At 42.5% G+C, this 21,041-nt stretch overlaps 1 protein-coding gene and 1 long non-coding RNA gene across 4 annotated transcripts in view, besides 1 other annotated feature; one reads left to right on the top strand and one right to left on the bottom strand.

Moving 5' to 3' along the window:
- EVC2 (EvC ciliary complex subunit 2) overlaps positions 1 to 9,647 on the top strand; it is a 180,538-nt gene extending 170,891 nt beyond the window's left edge. The window contains exon 22 of the mRNA XM_047449611.1: positions 3,848 to 9,647. Coding sequence (XP_047305567.1) covers positions 3,848 to 3,926 — 79 coding nt within the window. The 3' untranslated portion in view covers positions 3,927 to 9,647. The remainder of the gene's footprint in view (positions 1 to 3,847) is intronic.
- LINC01587 (long intergenic non-protein coding RNA 1587) lies at positions 10,857 to 14,089 on the bottom strand. Of its 3 annotated transcripts, NR_126519.1 has the most exons (4): positions 13,930 to 14,089; positions 13,162 to 13,251; positions 12,325 to 12,442; positions 10,857 to 11,270 (listed from the first exon to the last, which is right to left on the bottom strand). It is a non-coding gene; the product is annotated as a long intergenic non-protein coding RNA 1587 (long non-coding RNA). The 3 variants fall into 3 exon arrangements; NR_126517.1 differs by lacking the exon at positions 13,930 to 14,089 and having other exon boundaries at positions 12,325 to 12,463; positions 13,162 to 13,502; NR_126518.1 differs by lacking the exon at positions 13,930 to 14,089 and having other exon boundaries at positions 13,162 to 13,502.
- Positions 12,505 to 13,704: an enhancer, noted in NCBI's record as "BRD4-independent group 4 enhancer chr4:5526681-5527880 (GRCh37/hg19 assembly coordinates)". NCBI's record gives its function as "activates an origin of replication core promoter dependent on BRD2, P300/CBP, MED14 and CDK7 cofactors, and independent of BRD4, by STARR-seq in HCT116 cells {active_cell/tissue: HCT116}" and the evidence as "EXISTENCE:reporter gene assay evidence [ECO:0000049][PMID:35650434]".
- Positions 14,090 to 21,041: the final 6,952 nt, after the last annotated feature.

The following is a 21,041-nucleotide window of genomic DNA, read 5'->3' as shown; positions in this document are numbered from 1 at the left end:
CTGTGCCTTCTTGGGATAAACTCAACTTGGTCATGATATACTATTCTTTTTTGCAATCTATTGTTAGTTTCTATTTGCTAAAATTTTGTTAAGAATTTTGCGTCTAAGTTCACGAGGAATATTGATCTTTGGTTTTCTCTTCTTGTAATGTCTTTGTCTGGTTTTGGAATCAGGCTATCGCTGGCCTCATAAAATGAGTTGGAAAGTATATTCTCACTTCACTTTTATGGAAGAGTATGAGAAGAATTGGTATTATTTCTTCCTTAAATATTTGTTCAAATTACCCCCTTGAATTTTGGTGCCTGGCATTTTCTTTATTGGAAGATTTTAAACTAAAAGTTAAATTTCTTTGAGTATACAGTATCTGTTTCTTCTTAAATAACAGTTGGTAATGTATGTACTTTAAGGAATTTATTCATTTCATCTAAGTGGTTGAATTTACTGGCATAAAGCTGTTCATAATATTTTATTATTCTTTTAATTTCTGTGGAATCTATAGTGATACCAGTTTTTTCATTCCTGATATTGATAATCTGCGTCCTCCTCCCTCCCTCCCTGCTTCCCTTCCTTCTTTTCTTTCCTTTTTTTTTTTTTCTATTTCTTTCCAGATCAGTTTGGCTAGAGGTTTATCAATTTTACTGATCTTTTCCAAGAATCAGCTTATAGCTTCATTGATTTTCTATACTGTTTTTCTGTTTTGTATTTCACTGATATCTGCTCTTATCTTTGTTGTTTCCTTTATTTGGCTTACTTTAGGTTTAAGATGCTCTCCTTTTTTTATTTTCTTGAAGGGGGATCTGAAGTCATAGACTTGAGAATTCTTTTCTAAATATAGGATTTAGTGCCATAAATTTCTCTCTAGTAAATGTGTTAGTGACATCCACAAATTTCAATAATGTCAGTTCCGGACTGAGTTCAATTGATTTATTTTCTTCGTTATTTTGCACCACATTTCCTGCTTCTTTACTTGCCCGGTACTCCTTGATTGAATGCCAATCATTTTAACTTGTTGGGGGCTGAGTACTTTGTATTCTTGTAACTATTGTTGGGCTTTGTTCTGGTATACAGTTAAGAATTTGGAAATACTTTGATCCTTTTGAGTTTAGCTTTTATAATTTATTAAGATGTTTAGTCTATGGCTAATGATTCCCCACTATTGAGACAAGATCGTTCTGAGTCCTCTACCAAATGACCCCTGACTTCCAAAGTCTTCAAGTCTGGCTGGTGGGAAACAGCACTATTTCCCGGCTGGTGTGAGCACTGAATATTGTTTCCTGGAATCCTTTTGGGTGATTCTCTCCCTGGCCTCAAGGAATTTTCTCAATGCATGTACTGATGTCACTCTACTGAATAGTTGAGGATAGCCCCCTGAAGATTCCAGTGTTCTGGCTCTCCATAGCTCTCCTCTCTCCAAAACTCTGCCCTGCAATCTCTTGAACTCCCCTGGGCTCTGCCTGGGTTCCCTTCCCTGCAGCAGTGCCTGGAAAGTCTCCCAAGGCAGAAAGCGGGGCAACTCTAGGCTCACCTCATCTTTCTCCTGCCTTCCAGGGTCACTATCCTTTGTTGTCTAATGTCCAACACCTTGAAAACTATTGTTTTGCACCTTTTGTCCATTTAAAAATATTTTCCAAGTGGGAAGATAAATCCGGTCCTTATTACTATGTGTTTGTTGACAGTCTTAGACTACTTTTAATTTACCTTTCTCAGATGACAGGGATATCATCTTCTCATACAATTAAGATGCTTTGTCTTTTTCTATGAATTGTCTGTTCACTTCTTAGCTTATTTTTCTCCAGGGTTTTTCTTTCTCCTGAGGCTTTGGGAAATGCTACAGAGATTTATATGTTAGGGATAATGACTATTTTTTTTTTTTTGAGACAGAGTCTTGCTCTGTCGCCCAGGCTGGAGTGCAGTGGCGTGATCTCTGCTCATTGCAAGCTCCACCTCCTGGGTTCACGCCATTCTCCTGCCTCAGCATCCCGAGTAGCTGGGACTACAGGTGCCCGCCACCATGCCCAGCTAATTTTTTGTATTTTTAGTAGAAACGGGGTTTCACCATGTTAGCCAAGATGGTCTCGATCTCCTGACCTCGTGATCTGCCCGCCTTGGCCTCCCAAAGTGCTAGGATTACAGGTGTGAGCCACCGCGCCCAGCCATAACTCTTTAATGTATTGTGATTTAAATTAAAAATATTTCTCCAGTGTAATGTTTGTCATTTTAATTTTTATGTTTCTTGTGATGCAAATGTTTTTAAATTTTTATGTAAAAATATTTTCCCTTATTGCTTCTAAATTATTAAATGTATTTCTTATAAAACAAGAGACATAAATAAGCACATTAGGTGGAAACCAAAGAATACAAATAAGCTCTTTAAATATCTCTTGGGTGAGGGGCACTAGGTTCTGATATAATAAGTAGAGTGTCAATACCCACATTTTTTAGAGAATAGTATCTTATAAATATATTTGCATTGAATATTTGCATGGGTCTATGTTTAAAATTGGTGCTAAAGTTGGATATGGTGAACCTTGCATGTCGTATTCAATTGTTCTTTCTTTTAAAGTGCTGGTTGTAGTGAAAGGGTCCATGGGAAAAAATTCCAAGCACAGGAATCCAAGCAGATGGGCCTGTAGGTAGAGATGGGCAGAGGCTAAACAGGGAAGTATGGCAAGGGAAAGGAGGCGCTGTCACTTACTGAGCACCTGCTATGTGCCAGGCACTGTGTAGGAGACAGGTGTAGAAGACAAAGGCTGCAGTGGGTATGGGCGTCTTTGGGGCTACCTTGTTTTTGGTATATCTGGCCTATATTTGGAAAATATCCCTCCTAATGATTTCTGCTCTGGACTGAATGACTGTGTCCCTCTCCCCCAAAATTTATATGTTAAAGCCCCAGCCCCTAATGCGATGGTATTTTGAGGTGGGGCTTTGGGAGGTGATTAGGTTTAGATGAGGTCATGAGGGTGGGGCCCCCATGGTGGGATTAGTGCCCTTAAAGAAAGAGGAAGAACAGGAGATTATCTCTTTCTCTCTCTCTCTCTCTCTCTCTCTCTCTCTCTTTCTAAGCATGCACACACCAAGGACCATGCTGTGCCCTGATCTTGGCCTTTCAGTCTCCAGAACTGTGTGAAATAACCGTCTGTTGTTTCAGCCACCCAGTCTGTAATAATTTGTTATAGCAGTCCGAGCCAACTGAGACCATATGTGCCTCCCTAAAGCAGAAGCCTGTAACTCACTTTCTCAGTTTCCCTCGAGATTCAGGACAGGTAAGTGAGTTGGGCCTCACGAATCAGACGAACTCACAGAAAACCTTGATTTGGAAGAGAAAAATGCTTGGATGAGGCAAGCACATTGACACATCCACTTTCTGGTGTGGATTACGGCAGAGGTTACTTTCAGAGAGGGCAGCAGGGCTGACGTTCGGGGGTCCAGCCTCCCAGTTGGCACTGGGAGCTGGCACTGGGAGCTGAGATGTCTGTGCTCACTGGAGATGGCGATGGGCGGTCCTCACTGCAGGTGACCAGCCAGGGGATTTGAACATTCATCCTGGATATGGTATTCTTTGAGGAGTCTGGGGGTGGCGGGTCTTTAATGTCTTTAAACTGGTATTGAGGGAACCTCTGCCTACTGCCCATCACTTAAGGCTCGTCAGCAAGGTGACATATTTGAAACTTGCAGCTTCTTCACAGCTGACAAAAAGAAAAGGGAGATAATTTTTTTTTTAAATTCTCCTGTTTTCCCTAGAAAATAGAGATGAGAGAAAACCCTTGTGTTATGGCCATTAACCATTTCCTTTGTTCATTCAAATAGGAATCTAGCTTTTTTTTTTTTTTTTTTTTTTTCCTACCAGATGCTATGCTAAGTGCCAGACCACTGTGAACTGCAGAGGAAAAACCAGGGTATCAGAACTCTTCCACCGGTGGGGATAGTAGAGGCCACAAAGCCTCCATCACTCAACGCAATTGCATCTAAAGAATAATTTTCTGCAGACCACATGGAGGTGAGATGTTTGAGGTTTCTGAACAGGAAGCCCAAACATGTTAATTTGATACATTAGCAGGGGCTTATTATTTTCCCGTAACAAGGTCACAGGAAATTTATTAGCACTGTATCACAATCCTCTGGAAGAAAAATCGTCAGAGGTCACATTAACCCTTTAGTTCCCGCTGCTGTGAGGAAGGTTTTGTTGGGCAATGCTTTAACTTTTGATGGTCACTGAAACATCCCAGTCTCTCACCTTTATATGATGCCTCTGTTTTCATCTATCTATCCATCCATCCATCTATCCACCCATCCATCCACTCACTCGCTGAACCAATAGTTGCTGGAGCATCTGCTGTGGGCACTGCTGCAGAATCGGGGATGTGGCAGTGAACAGCACCCACAAATTCCCACCCTTCAATGAGTTAACATTCTCATGTCATTCTCTCACAGCTTCATACAGCAACTCTCTAAAATCAGTGTCATTTTTCATATGAAAAATTGAGGTGCCAGGCATGCAGCCTGTAGCCCTTTCCCAGTCTTTTCTCCACAGAGCAGCCAGGCTGATCTTTTTTAAAAATGTAAATCACTCCCTGCTTAAAATCTTCTAGTGCCTCCTCATCGCTCTTAAGAATAAAATCCAAATTCCTTACCAGAGCCTATGAGACCGTGAAGGATATGCCTCTTGGCTCCCTCTGTGACCTCATCTCCCCCTTGCTCATCGCAATTCTGCCATGTTTGTCTTCTCTTTGCTCTCCCAGGACTCTGAGCAGGGTCCTGCCTCAGGACCTTTGCACCATCTATTTCTGAACACTCTGCTCTCTGTGTATTTCCTTGGCTGATTTCTGCCATTTGGGTTTCAGCTCAGATATCACCTCCTCCAGTAGGCCTTTTGGGACTTGTCCACCCCTCTTTCCCCCATGCCCTGTTTTCTTTCTCACATGGCTGTGGCAGTCAGCTTTCTTAGCGGCAATATGGACTCCAGCAAACGAACTCTGGCAGATACATGGGTAGTGCAGGGGAACAAGCTCTTATCCACAGCTAGATGCCCTGGCGGCTCTTCTGCCCCTTACTGGCTGCAGGGCGTGAGACAAGCATCTTAATCTCTCCAGTCCTTGGAACATGGAAACCAGACCATGTCTTTCCTCTGCTCAAAGCCTTTTAAGGGCTTCCCATCCCAGGCAGAGAAAAAGCCACGTTCCTTTCTATGCCCTGAAAAGCCATCCAACTGGACCCATTCCTTGCCCGACCTCTCCTCCCACTCCACCCCCCACTGGCTCTGCTCCAGCCACTTCTGCCCTTGCTGTTCCTTGAGCAGCCAGGACTGTGGCTGCCTCCAGGCCTTTGCACTTGCTGCTTTCTGTCTCTGGAATGCTCTTCCTCCAACACCCACGTGGCTTTTAAGCTTTCATTCAAGCATTACCATCTCAGCGAGACCTTCACTAGTTGCCCTATTAAAAATCGCAACCCCACCTCCTCCCCAACCCATATCCCTTTCCCCTCATTGATTTCTCCCCTTAGCACTCATCAGCTTGTCACATACTGTCATTTGCTTATTTGCTGGTTTATTGTCTGTCTCCCTCCACCACAATGACGGCTCCATGAGAAATGATTTCTGTTTTGTCCGTGATACGTTCTAGCATCTAGGATGCAGGCACATGGTGGGCAGATCTGCTGAATGAATGAGTGAATAAGGTTCGGTTCCTTTATTCCTCTTCTTTGCAGTGGATAGTCAGAGTCCCTTCCTGATATCAGGGTACTGAGTATGGGGTGAGACTCAGGCATTAGAGTCCAGCACACTGCCCGCCAGTGCTGGCCATCTCTGCTCCCATCCCTGCTCAGCTCGCATGCTTGGCTTCCCACCCAAGACAAGCAGCCCAGGAAACAGATTCGATCAATGCTCTTCACCTTGAGCATCTCGAGGGCTGTGCTTGACGAAGTCTTAAAGCCAATAAATATCAGCAGCTAAGCTCTCTCTGCTAGACGGTCAGTGCAGAGGCAGCAGTGGCCACACTTAGGCAGCCGCTGGGGAGAGGACAAGGACAGTCAGCTTTAGAAGGAAGGACACAACTGACCCCGGCTTGCTGGCAGATGAGGTGGGCTGAAGAGCTGGTGAAAACAGAGGCTCCCAGTTCCGTGTGTAAGAACATGCAGGCTCAGTCATACTGCAAGGGCCTGAGTCTTGGGTCTGTTGTATCTGTGTGATACTGGGTGTGCTGGTTAATTGTATGAGTCAACTTGGCCGGGCCATAGTGCCCAGAGATATGGTCAGCATGATTCTGGATGCTTCTGTGAGGGTGTTTTTGGATGAGATTAACATCTAAGTTGGTGGACTTGAGCAGAGCAGGTTGCCCTCCATAATGTGGGTGGGCCTCGTCCAATCAGTTGAAAGCCTGAACAGCAGAAAAAACTGACCTCCCCTAAGCAAGTGGGATTTTGTCCACAGATGGCCTTTAGGCTGGAGCTGCAGCCTCAGCTTTCCTCTGGGTCTCTAGCCTTCCTGCTTGCCCTGCAAATTTTGGACTTCTTAGCCTCCTTAAAGTAAATCTCTATCAATATACCAGTGGCCCTCTGTATCCATGGTTCCGGATCTGTGGATTCAACCAACTGCAGATCAAAAATTTAGTTAAACCCATGAAAGTTGTGTACAGCCTTTTTCCTTGTCGTGATTCCCCAGACAATACATGTAACAAGTACTTATATAGCATTTACACTGTATTATGTATCATAGGTAAACTAGAGATGACTTAAAGCAGTGGTCCTCAACCTTTTTGGCACCAGGGACCGGTTGCATGAAAGACAATTTTTCCATGAACTGGCAGGAGCGTGGTTTCAGGATGATTCAAACCATTATATTTATTGTGCACTTTATTTCTATTATTATTACATTGTAATATATAATGAAATAATTATACATCTCACCATAATGTAGATCAGTGGGAGCTCCAAGCTTGTCTTCCTGCAACTAGATGGTCCCATTTGGAGGTGATGGGAGACAGTGACAGATCATCAGGCATTGGATTTTCAAAAGGAGCACGCAACCTAGATCCCTCGCATGTGCAGTTCACAGTAGGGTTTGTGCTCCTAAGATAATCTAATGCCGCCACTGATCTGACAGCAGGCAGAGCTCACACAGTAATGCGAGCAAGCAATGGGGAGCGGCTGTCAATACAGATGAAACTTCGCTCACTCACACAGCACTTAGCTCACTCACCTCCTGTTGTATGGCCCAGTTCCTAACAGGCCATAGGCCGGATGGGTTTGTGGCCTAGGGGTTGGAGACCCCTGACTTAAAGTACATAGGAGGATGTGCTGTAGGTTATATGCAAATACCACACCATTTTATTATATCTGCGAGGGGTCCTGGAACCAATCTCCTGAAACCAAGGGAGGACCATATATACACATTCTATTGGTTCTGTTTCCCTGGAGCGCCCTGGGTAATACAAGGGAAGTCTTTTCATGCCTTAGTGAACCTGGGACTCAGTTCGCTTGTCACTGGTGCAGCCTCCAGAGCCAGCTGATGTAGGCCGCCACTCCCTCAATGGCTCCTGGCCTTGGGCACATAACTGAACCCCTACATGCTCCAGGCTCCTCTGCAAAGTTGGGAGGGTAATAACAGTAATAACCACCCTCAGAGTGTTATTGTGAGAATTAAATGCATTTGTGCCCATGAGTGCTGAAGGCTAGAGATGCACTGGTCTTTACTATCAGGACATGAGGACTGAGAAAATCCATGCAACTGCTCAGCATGGTAAGTAGCTTGCTAGGTGAGTGTGGCTCACACCAAGTTCTCAGCACCTGTTAGATGATACTATTAACACAATATTTATTTGTAAATTACTGAAACCTTATTCACCAGGTAAGTATGAATTGAACCCAGACCTACAAAAGCTTAAAATACTTGAGGAACAATAGTTTACCTTATGAGGTAGTCAGCTGTCTGGTAACCTCAATCAGCTAAAATTTGCTGGCAAATTCAGGAATTGAAAAATCCTAGAGATTTGTCAGAGGGTACAAACTTGCAGTCATGTAGGATGAATAAGTCTAACCTAATGCACAGCAGGAGGACTATGGTTCATAATATTGTATTGTATGCTGAACATTTGGTAAGAGACTGGATTTTATGTGTTCTTACCACACACACACACACACGCGGTAACTGTGTGAGGAGATTCATATGTTAGTTTGTTTGACTGTAGTTGTCATTTCACCATGTGTATCACAACATCATGCTGTATACCTTAAATAGATACAATAATAAATAAACAACTATCCTAGAGAGATAAGGGGTAAGCATTATACAAAGCCACACACGCAATTTCGTGGAAAGGTTCATGGGATCCTCCTTAGGCCCCATGGCCCCTTGAGCCTGCAGGCACAATGTCTGTTGTAAAGGAAGCATTGAAGAATGGCCTACCTTGAAACCCCTTGGGATTTTACGCTCAATTTTGGAAGCCTGGCATCCATCCGAGTGCCCCTACAGGTAAGGACTTATGCTTTTATTGAATTGCATGTAATGACAAGAAGTTAATGTCGACTGATGGACCTTAGAAACTAAAGAACTGGCTGGACATGGTGACTCACACCTGTAATCCCAACACTTTGGGAGGCCAAGGGCAGATCACCTGAGGTCGGGAGTTCAAGACCAGCCTGGCCAACATGGCGAAATCCCGTCTCTACTAAAAGTTAAAAAATTAGCCAGGCGTAGTGGTGGGCACCTGTAATCCCAGCTACTCAGGAGGCTGAGGCAGGAGAATCGCTTGCACCGGGAGGTGGAGGTTGCAGTGAGCCGAGATTGCACCACTGCACTTCAGCCTGGGTGACAATAGTGAGACTCCGTCAAAAAAAAAAAAAAAAAAAACCTAAATAACTTAATCAGTTCTTCCCATTTCTGTATCATCAAGGGCATTCATGCATCATATGTAAGTTCTGGAACACAAATTTCCAATTAATATTTTTTATTCAAAAACATAGGATGGCATAAAAACTCAGCCACATGGGAACATTCCTAAGTATTAAGCTTCCAATGTATTTCAATTTACAAGCATTTATTGAGCACCTACTATGTGTCTAGAACCACAATAAGTGAGAGGATGTTTTAAGATATGTTCTTAGTCTGAAGGAGCTCACAGTCTAGCCAGGTTCACATATTTCACAATATTTATTGGCATGTGAGAAAATAACAAACTGCTATAAAACTTCATAGTTGGGTGAGACCACTGTGGGTTGTAGAAATAAGGAAAGGATTCTTCGGGGAGGTAAAAAGCGAATTGAATTATATCACGAAGACTTGGTTGTTGTCTTGGAGGTAAATATAGCACCTATTTCTTCATCTCCTAATTTTGAACCAATTAAGACACAGGAGCGAGACAGATGAGGATGAAAATATCACACTAAAAGGCTGAATTGACCCATGTACCTGAGGTGGGTAGCCATATGGGATTCCTCCTACTTTACCCCCTGAATGAGGTAGCCTCATTCTCCCAGTCACATGTACCATTGACCAGCATAGATTTCTGAAAGGGATGGCTGAGAGGAGTGTGCCCCATTCAGCAAGGAGGCAGAGGCTACAGATGGCTCTCAAAATCTCTCCCGGAGAGTGGAATGGAAATTCTCGGCCTCCGTGGAAACATGAGGGGTAAGCTATATATATATCCTTGTACGACTAGTAAGTTATGCCTACATTAAATTTGGTTTGGAAGTGTGTAACAAAAGTAGTGAGTCTGGATGGGTATATTAACACCAACATCATCAACAACAACATCAACATTAGTAACGTCAACAACATTATCACATCAACAATAGCAGCACAGCAGTAGTGCCAACAGCAGCAACAACGACAATAGAATAACATCTCAGCAACAAGAATAAAAATAGCAACAATAGCACTGTCAACCACATCAGCAAGAACATTAACAGTAACAACGCCAACAGCATCATCACAACATCCGCAGTAGCAGCATCAACAGCATCATCACAACACCCGCAGTAATGTCAACAGTATCATCACAACACCCACAGTAACAATGCCAACAGCAGCATCACAACATCTACAGAAACAGTGTCTAGAGCATCATCACTACTTCCATAGTTACAACATCAACAGCGATATAACAGTATCAAGAAACAACATCAGCAGCATCATCACAACACCTGTAGTAATAGTGTCAATAGCCTCATCGTGACACGGCACCCACAGTAATAGTGTCAACAGCACATCACTGTGCCCATAGTAACATCATCACAACATCCACAGCAACTGTGTTAACAGCATCACGCCAACATCTACAGTAAATGTGTTAACAGCGTCATCACAACATCCATAGTAAGTGTCAACACCACCATCACGGCATCCACAGTAAAGCTTCAACAGCATCATCACAACATCCACAGCAACAACATCATCACAGCATCCACAGTGACACTGTCAACAGCATCATTGCAACATCCACAGTGACAATGTCAACAGCATCATCACAGCAACAGTAGCAGCACATCAGCAGCAACAACTGCCACAAAATGGCAACAACAGCGGTATCAAAAATAATCAGAACAGTAGTGAAAACACTGTCACCAACAACAGCAAAAACATCAGCAACCACATAATCTGCAGAAACAGCAGCAAAAATAGCAAGAGCAGTAGCAGCAGCAGCAGTAACAATAACAAAAACAGCAGCAACACCATCAACAGCAATAACAAGGCTAGGTAGCATTTATAGAGTGCTTGTCTGACACCAGTCTCCAGGCTAAGTGCTGAACATGCATGATCTCATTTAACCCTCACAGGATTTATCTTAAACACTGGAATAGAGAGAGACTGTAGATAAAATTATGCCCATGAGATAGGTGTAATCCAGTAAAAAAGGACTCAGTTGTTTAGCTGGGTAGGTCTGGGTTCTAATCCAGATTCTTTTATTATCTAAGCAACCTCAGGCAAACTCTTTAACCTTCCTGCATTTCAATTTGTCATCTCCAAGTGGGGAAAAAAATCTGCAGCCTGGATTTGTTGTGAGGACTCAGTGAGGTCGTGCGGTGAGGTACTGGCACGTTCCCACGGGGTTACCTGGGTGGGAAGGCATCTTGTCAAATCAAACTCAAGAGGAACCACTGGGAGGATGAGGTTGTGGCTCTGCCCACCCTCTCTCTTCTCCAGTATTCTTTGTCTTTTCGTCATGTTGGTTTCTCCCAGCTGGGAGCTGTCAGAAACGCTCAGAAGGGGGGGAAAAGGCAGCCTTTCATCCCCTAAGCTTGTCATCCTCAGCTTTTTGCCAATGCTCAGTTCTTTTTTCCTAGGGAAGATAAAAAAGAAAACACATGAAAACCCCACAAACATAAACACATCAGACACAATCCTACTTCTTCAAGGCAGAGTCTCAGGAGACTGCCTTCTAAGGGGAAGACAAAGGGAGTTGGACCTTTGTCCATCTGGGAGCAGGCTCTGCGTGTTTGTTCTTAGGAGACTTGGCACAAAGGCGAAGGTTGGCTCTCCCCCTCCCAATAAATGTGGACACACTTTCCGTAGGCCCTGTGTCTGAAGGCAGCACAGTGCATTTGAGAAGCTGGGATGCTGGAAACAGCACACTTAGAATAAGCACCAAAGAGGATGGCTGAAGCAACTCCCCCACCTTGCCTGACAGAATTCATCTATGAATATAGGTACTCCTCCTTCTGTGCCAAGCATCCAATCAATGAAATGATAGTTATTCTTCCCCATTAGCTTCATGAAGTCAAAGCCTGCTTTGTTTGGTTCACCACTGTATTCACCATTACTATTGTCCCCAGTAGGTCATATTCTCCTAGAAGCAGAGCCTGAGCCAAGGATTCAATGCAAGGGATTTGTTGAGGCAGTGCTCCCGAGATGTACCAGTGAGGGAGTTGGGGGTGGGGCACAAATAGGGGAGGAGAGGAGACTCAACAAGTGTATCATCTTGGGTGACACCCCAGCCTCATCTTGGTCTTGAGTGGTGTGCTGAAGCAGAGATGATATCTCAGAGTTTGTCCTCTCCAAGGCACAGGTGCTGGGCTTTTGTATTCCCACAATGGTCAGTCACTGGCTGTGGCTTAGGGGGGATGGGAAGGGCTGAGAATGAGTTGCCAAGTTGTTCCAGCTCTCCAGGGAAGGCCCCAGTGCTCAGGGGAAACTTAGCAGCAGGGCATACAGGGGCTGGGCTGGATGCACAGGGCTGGTAAAAGGCTTCAGAGGGGGTCTGAGCTGGGCACCATCAGGGTCTGCTGTTTTTCTTTAATCCAAGAATTGAGAGAGAGAAAGCAGTAAAAAAAAAAAAAAATAGGATTGCATTGATTTCTTTTCATGTAGACTCCATGATCTGGACAGAAAGTTACCTTCATTGATGCACTGCAGTTGAGTGAGCACCGGAGACAGTCACACTGGGGTTTGGGTCAAAGGTCCAGCTGGCAGCAAAGCATTCTGGCTCTGTTTTATCTGCAGTGTCTGCAGTTCCTGTATGTAGAGGGAAGAAGGCTGGTGTTCCCAGGTCTCCTTTTATATAATTATAAAATGAGCTTTTATAATTATAAAAGCAATGCGTGAAAATAAACAAAATCAACATTCCTGAAGGGGCTAAAATATGCTCTTTTGGTAGGTTGACTATTTCAGTTAAAGGCACTTGAAAAACAGCAGGTGCAAAGAGATCAGTCTGAACTTCATTTTCTTAAAAGCAGAAGATGAAATTCCCATGTGAAAGATGTCCTCCCTACACTAGAGAAAAAGCAAGGTTCTTATCATCAAGGACAAGAAAGTTGAAGTGGAACGAATTTTGTACAAACAAGCCTTGTTCAACTAACACTTGTCATGCTGGCTACTTCTCTATCCAGTTAACCACCCTAGCCCAAGACCCTTTGCCTGATCACATGTTTACAGTTTATAATTCTTTGTCAAATCTGGTAAAGAATTAACTGACTCTGACAGCTTCTTTGTGTCTTTATTTCTTTATGAGGCTCCTATGCTATGTAAAACTTGTGTTGTGCTTTGCTCCTGTTAATCTATGTTATGTCAATGTAATTCTTGGACCCTCCTGGGACCCTAAAAGGGTGAAGTAGTATTCTTCTGTCCCAACAGTTTCTGTCCTAAAAGGCTGAGCACCTTCCGACTCACTCTGGAGCCTGCAGATGGGATCCTGAGGGGCCTAATAAATGATGGAAGAAAGTAGGAATTCTTACCAAGGTCAGCTCTCCTGGATTTCCGTCCATAGTGTCCAATTGAAAGAAGAAGGTAAAAATTTTTGCGTGTTCCTTCCTTCCCAAATTCAACTGACAGGAAAAAAAAAATTGTAAAAAATTGGTTCTTTGAATTGTGAGTCTTGTGAATTTGCTTCTGGGTGTCCATTGGTAATTGATCCACAGCCTCCCAGGAAGTCCTTGTTTTTCTTATCTCTGTCTTTTGTGTGGGTTGTCATAAGGAAGAAAATTATAATTAATTAGATTTGAGGTAGGAGGCTGGCAGGGCTTGTTTTCTGGTCATGACCTCACTGATCTGGTTTGAAAGGATATGGTTGAAACAGAATGCAGTGAAGAAGCCAGCCAAAATAAGCAGATGGCCATGAAAGTGACCTGTAGTTGCCCTCACTACTCATTAGCATAAAGACATTCCCATGGGTGCCGTGACAGTTTACACATGCCATGGCAATGGGCCATAGCAATGGCCTGGAAGTTACCATATATGGTTCTGGACGCTCTCGGCCCCTTTTCCAGAATGTTCTGAATAATCCACCTCTTAATTAGCATATAATTAAAAGTGGGTATAAATACAGCTGCCAACAGCTTACACATTGCTGACTCTGGGCACACTGCTTATGGGTTAGCCCTGCTCTGCAAGGAGCAGCACTGGCTCCATAAACACTGCTTTCTGTCACCACTGGCTCACCCTTGAGTTCGTTCCTGGGTGAAGCCAACAACCCTCTCAGGTTGATCCCCAATTTTGAGGCTCACCTGTCCTGCATCAGACTCTGCTTCATCTTCTCTGAAGTCATAAGAGCTTGGCTTTGTAATCAGTGAAAATGTGCTCTTTGGTTTCTATCAGCCTGGGGCTCAAGCTGTTGGGCTTGTGCCCAGCAGTTAGCCAGCTCTCCAGGATTCTGAAACAAGAAGTGTCTCTTTGTATGAACTGTGCCAGCTCTCAGGACAGTTTGTCGTAATTGTCTCAGCCTTTGTTGCCCTGTTAACAATGAGGGTCTTCACTTTCTTAGGTATCCTTGGAGGAAACTTTGGATCTGGGGTGGGGGTGGGACTTCTGTACCCTCTTTATGGATGCCTCTTTTGTCCATGATTAAACCATAAAAAGATGATCAGTTTTGAGTCAAAACTGAAGTAGGTATACCTTTGAAAATTTGGACTTTTGTATCTAAAAGTATTTTTTTTAAGAGAACTCTCATCCTAAGTAACTGTCCTATTGGTACCTATGTGAAGATTTGGCTTAAAAGAAAAAAAAACTTATATAAATTGTTATCTCAGAAAAAGAGAAACTAACCTAAGTGTTTTTCAAGTTCACGTGGTTTTACATAATCTTTGGTAAATAAAAACCTACTTAAAGTTTGCTGATTTAATTAAACCAGCAATATTATTATACTTTAAGTTTTAGGGTACATGTGCACAATTTGCAGATTTGTTACATATGTATACATGTGCCAAGTTGGTGTACTGCACCCATTTAGCACATTTCGCACCCATAATGCACGTCATTTAGCATGAACTCATCATTTTTTATGGCTGCATAGTATTCCATGGTGTGGATGTGCCATATTTTCTTAATCCAGTCTATCGTTGTTGGACATTTGGGTTGGTTCCAAGTCTTTGCTATTGTGAATAGTGCCGCAATAAACATACGTGTGCATGTGTCTTTATAGCAGCAAGATTTATATTCCTTTGGGTATATACCCAGTAATGGGATGGCTGGGTCAAATGGTATTTCTAGTTCTAGAACCCTGAGGAATCGCCACACTCACTTCCACAATGGTTGAACTAGTTTACAGTCCCACCAACAGTGTAAAAGTGTTCCTATTTCTCCACATCCTCTCCAGCACCTGTTGTTTCCTGACTTTTTAATGATTGCCATTCTAACTGGTGTGAGATGGTATCTCATTGTGGTTTTGATTTGCATTTCTCTGATGGCTAGTGATGAGGAGCATTTTTTCATGTCTCTTTTGGCTGCATAAATGTCTCCTTTTGAGAAGTGTCTGTTCATATCCTTCGCCCAGTTTTTGATGAGGTTGTTTGTTTTTTTCTTGTAAATTTGTTTGAGTTCATTGTAGATTCTGGATATTAGCCCTTTGTCAGATGAGTAGGTTGGGAAAATGTTCTCCTATTTTGTCGGTTGCCTGTTCACTCTGATGGTAGTTTCTTTTGCTGTGCAGAAGCTCTTTCGTTTAATTAGATCCCATTTGTCAATTTTGGCTTTTGTTACCATTGCTTTTGGTGTTTTAGACATGAAATCCTTGCCCATGCCTATGTCCTGAATGGTATTGCCTAGGTTTTCTTCTAGGGTTTTCATGGTTTTAGGTCTAACATTTAAGTCTTTAATCCATCTTGAATTAATTTTTGTATAAGGTGTAAGGAAGGGATCCAGTTTCAGCTTTCTCCATATGGCTAGCCAGTTTTCCCAGCACCATTTATTAAATAGGGAATCCTTTCCCCATTGCTTGTTTTTCTCAGGTTTGTCAAAGATCAGATAGTTGTAGATATGTGGCATTATTTCTGAGGGCTCTGTTCTGTTCCATTGATCTATATCTCTGTTTTGGTACCAGTACCATGCTGTTTTGGTTACTGTAGCCTTGTAGTATAGTTTGAAGTCAGGTAGCGTGATGCCTGCGGCTTTGTTCTTTTGGCTTAGGATTCACTTGGTGATGCGGGCTCTTTTTTGATTCCATATGAACTTTAAAGTAGTTTTTTCCAATTCTGTGAAGAAAGTCATTGGTAGCTTGATGGGGATGGCATTGAATCTATAAATTACCTTGGGCAGTATGGCCGTTTTCACGATATTGATTCTTCCTACCCATGAGCATGGAATGTTCTTCCATTTGTTTGTATCTTCTTTTATTTCATTGAGCAGTGGTTTGTAGTTCTTCTTGAAGAGGTCCTTCACATCCCTTGTAAGTTGGATTCCTAGGTATTTTATTCTCTTTGAAGCAATAGTGAATGGGAGTTCACTCATGATTTGGCTCTCTGTTTGTCTGTTATTGGTGTATAAGAATGCTTGTGATTTTTGTACATTGATTTTGTATCCTGAGACTTTGCTGAAGTTGCTTATCAGCTTAAGGAGACTTTGGGCTGAGACAATGGGGTTTTCTAGATATACAATCATGTCATCTGCAAACAGGGACAATTTGACTTCCTCTTTTCCAAATTGAACACACTTTATTTCCTTCTCCTGCCTAATTGCCCTGGCCAGAACTTCCAACACTATGTTGAATAGGAGTGGTGAGAGAGGGCATCCCTGTCTTGTGCCAGTTTTCAAAGGGAATGCTTCCAGTTTTTGCCCATTCAGCATGATATTGGCTGTGGGTTTGTCATAGATAGCTCTTACTATTTTGAGATACGTCCCATCAATACAGAATTTCTTGAGAGTTTTTAGCATGAAGGTTGTTGAATTTTGTCAAAGGCCTTTTCTGCATCTATTGAGATAATCATGTGGTTTTTGTCTTTGGTTTTGTTTATATGCTGGATTACATTTATTGATTTGTGTATGTTGAACCAGCCTTGCATCCCAGGGATGAAGCTCACTTGATCATGGTAGATAAGCTTTTTGATGTGCTGCTGGATTCGGTTTGCCAGTATTTTATTGAGGATTTTTGCATCAATGTTCATCAAGGATATTGGTCTAAAATTCTCTTTTTTGGTTGTGTCTCTGCCCGGCTTTGGTATCAGGATGATGCTGGCCTCATAAAATGAGTTAGGGAGGATTCCCTCTTTTTCTATTGATTGGAATCATTTCAGAAGGAATGGTACCAGCTCCTTCTTGTACCTGTGATAGAATTCGGCTGTGAATCCATCTGGTCCTGAACTCTTTTTGGTTGGTAAGCTATTGAATATTGCCACAATTTCAGAGCCTGTTATTGGTCTATTCAGAGATTCAACTTCCTCCTGGTTTAGTGTTGGGAGGGCGTATGTGTCGAGGAATTTATCCATTTCTTCTAGATTTTCTAGTTTATTTGCGTAGAGGTGTTTGTAGTATTCTCTGATGGTAGTTTGTATTTCTGTGGGATCGGTGGTGATATCCCCTTTATCATTTTTTATTGGGTCTATTTGATTCTTCTCTCTTTTCTTCTTTATTAGTCTTGCTAGCAGTCTATCAATTTTGTTGATCTTCTCAAAAAACCAGCTTCTGGATTCATTAATTTTTTGAAGGGTTTTTTATGTCTCTATTTCCTTCAGTTCTGCTCTGATTTTAGTTATTTCCTGCCTTCTACTAGCTTTTGAATGTGTACGCTCTTGCTTTTCTAGTTCTTTTAATTGTGATGTTAGGGTGTCAATTTTGGATCTTTCCTGCTTTCTCTTGTGGGCATTTAGTGCTATAAATTTCCCTCTACACACTGCTTTGAATGCGTCCCAGAGATTCTGGTATGTTGTGTCTTTCTTCTGGTTGGTTTCAAAGAACATCTTTATTTCTGCCTTCATTTTGTTATGTACCCAGTAGTCATTCAGGAGCAGGTTGTTCAGTTTCCGTGTAGTTGAGCGGTTTTGAGTGAGTTTCTTAATCCTGAGTTGTAGTTTGATTGTACTGTGGTCTGAGAGAAAGTTTGTTATAATTTCTGTTCTTTTACATTTGCTGAGGAGAGCATTACTTCCAAGTATGTGGTCAATTTTGAAATAGGTGTGGTGTGGTGCTGAAAAAAAATGTATATTCTGTTGATTTGGGGTGGAGAGTTCTGTACATATCTATTAGGTCTGCTTGGTGCAGAGCTGAGTTCAATTCCTGGGTATCCTTGTTAACTTTCTGTCTCATTGATCTGTCTAATGTTGACAGTGGGGTGTTAAAGTCTCCCATTATTATTGTGTGGGAGTCTAAGTCTCTTTGTAGTTCACTCAGGACTTGCTTTATGAATCTGGGTGCTCTTGTATTGGGTGCATATATATTTAGGATAGTTAGCTCTTCTTGTTGAATTGATCCCTTTACCATTATGTAATGGCCTGGTCTCTTTTGATCTTTGTTGGTTTAAATTCTGTTTTATCAGAGACTAGGATTGCAACCCCTACCTTTTTTTGTTTTCCATTTGCTTTATTTTGAGCCTACGTGTGTCTCTGCACATGAGATTGGTTTCCTGAATACAGCACACTGATGGGTCTTGACTCTTTATCCATTTTGCCAGTCTGTGTCTTTTAACTGGAGCATTTAGTCCATTTACATTTAAAGTTAATATTGTTATGTGTGAATTTGTTTCTGTTATTATGATGTTAGCTGGTTATTTTGCTCATTAGTTGATGCAGTTTCTTCCTAGCCTCCATGGTCTTTACAATTTGGCATGTTTTTGCAGTGGCTGGTACCGGTTGTTCCTTTCCATGTTTAGTGCTTCGTTCAGGAGCTCTTTTAGGGCAGGCCTGGTGGTGACACAATCTCTCAGCATTTGCTTGTCTGTAAAGTATTTTATTTCTCCTTCACTTATGAATCTTAGTTTGGCTGGATATGAAATTTTGGGTTGAAAATTATTTTCTTTAGGAATGTTGGATATTGGCCCCCACTCTCTTCTGGCTTGTAGAGTTTCTGCCGAGCGATCACCTGTTAGTCTGATGGGCTTCCCTTTGTGGGTAACCCGACCTTTCTCTCTGGGTGCCCTTAACATTTTTTCCTTCATTTCAACTTTGGTGAATCTAACAATTATGTGTCTTGGAGCTGCTTTTCTCGAGGAGTATCTTTGTGGTGTTCTCTGTATTTCCTGAATCTGAATGTTGGCCTGCCTTGCTAGATTGGGGAGGTTCTCCTGGATAATATCCTTCAGAGTGTTTTCCAACTTGGTTCTATTCTCCCCGTCACTTTCAGGTACACCAATCAGACATAGATTTGGTCTTCTCACATAGTCCTATATTTCCTGGAGACTTTGTCCCTTTCTTTTTATTCTTTTTTCTCTAAACTTCCCTTCTCGCTTCATTTCATTCATCTTCCATCACTGATACCCTTTCTTCCAGTTGATCGCATCAGCTCCTGAGGCTTCTGCATTCTTTATGTAGTTCTTGAGCCTTGGTTTTCAGCTCCATCAGGTCCTTTAAGGACTTCTCTGCATTGGTTATTCTAGTTATCCATTCGTCTAATTTTTTTCCAAGTTTTTAACTTCTTTGCCATTGGTTTGAATTTCCTCCTGTAGCTCGGAGTAGTTTGATCGTCTGAAGCCTTCTTCTCTCAACTCGTCCAAGTCATTCTCCATCCAGCTTTGTTCTATTGCTGGTGAGGAACTGCGTTCCTTTGGAGGAGAGGCGCTCTGCTTTTTAGAGTTTCCAGTTTTTCTGCTCTATTTTTTCCCCATCTTTGTGGTTTTATCTACTTTTGGTCTTTGATGATGGTGATGTACAGATGGGGTTTTGGTGTGGATGTAATTTCTGTTTGTTAGTTTTCCTTCTAACAGACAGGACCCTCAGCTGCAGGTCTGTTGGAGTTTGCTAGAGGTCCACTCCAGACCCTGTTTGCCTGGGTATCAGCAGGGGTGGCTGTTGTACTGTGGATTTTCGTGAACCGCAAATTCTGCTGCCTGATCATTCCTCTGGAAGTTTTGTCTCAGAGGAGTACCCGGTCGTGTGAGGTGTCAGTCTGCCCCTACTGGGGGGTGCCTCCCAGTTAGGCTGCTCGGGGGACAGGGACCCACTTGAGGAGGCAGTCTGCCCGTTTTCAGATCTCCAGCTGTGTGCTGGGAGAACCACTGCTCTCTTCAAAGCTGTCAGACAGGGACATTTAAGTCTGCAGAGGTTACTGCTGTCTTTTGTTTGTCTGTGCCCTGCCCCCAGAGGTGGAGCCTACAGAGGCAGGCAGGCCTCCTTGAGCTGTGGTGGGCTCCACCCCGTTTGAGCTTCTGGGCTGCTTTGTTTACCTAAGCAAGCCTGGGCAATGGCAGGCGCCCCTCCCCCAGGCTCGCTGCCACCTTGCAGTTTGATCTCAGACTGCTGTGCTGGCAATCAGCGAGACTCCGTGGGCATAGGACCCTCCGAGCCAGGTGTGGGATATAATCTCCTGGTGCACCATTTTTTAAGCCCGTTGGAAAAGCGCAGTATGCGGGTGGGAGTGACCCGATTTTTCAGGTGCCGTCTGTCACCCCTTTCTTTGACTAGGAAAGGGAATTCCCTGACCCCTTGCACTTCCCGAGTGAGGCAATGCCTCACCCTGCTTCGGTCGCGCATGGTGCAGTGCACCCACTGTCCTGCACCCACTGTCTGGCACTCCCTAGTGAGATGAAGCCGGTACCTCAGATGGAAATGCAGAAATCACCCGTCTTCTGCGTCGCTGATGCTGGAAGCTGTAGACTGGAGCTGTTCCTATTCGGCCATCTTGGCTCCCTCCCATATTGTCTTTATTGTCTTTGATTACTTAAGTAAACTAAGTTTTCTCAATATGAACAAAGCTAAAGTTTTTTTTTTTTTTTTTAATAATGATGTAACTTTCTGTATTTGCCTCTGAAATCTTTTGTCACTTTGGTATTATTTCACGATCTACGATCGTGTTTTAATTAATTATTTTAACTTTTTGACATTTTTGATAAACTTTCCAAAACCAAATTCTAAATAAAATCTATTTGACCTTGAGCAAACTTTAGAATTTTGCAGATGGTTATCTGGAGGATTACAAAAGAGTTGTTTTCTCTCCTTACACTAAGGAAGATAGTAAACGAATTACGCTTATTTGATATATTAAAGTATATGGAAACATAGTCAAAATGATATTTAACCTTCATGTTATATTTATATGAATGTATATCATTAATATAAGTGTTCTAAAAATTATATAAAATTCCTGGAAATGTGATATGTTCTAATACATTACCAGCAATGATTCTAGTTAGCATGTTAAAATGTTGTATGTCATAGGAATAACCAAATTCCTTGTCAGTTTAATCATCATTTTAGTG

Source organism: Homo sapiens, chromosome 4 (genome assembly GCF_000001405.40).
Source record: "Homo sapiens chromosome 4, GRCh38.p14 Primary Assembly".
NCBI classification, from domain to species: domain Eukaryota; kingdom Metazoa; phylum Chordata; class Mammalia; order Primates; family Hominidae; genus Homo; species Homo sapiens.
Note: the sequence above shows the minus strand (reverse complement) of the source record. Positions and strands in the feature narration are given on the sequence as shown.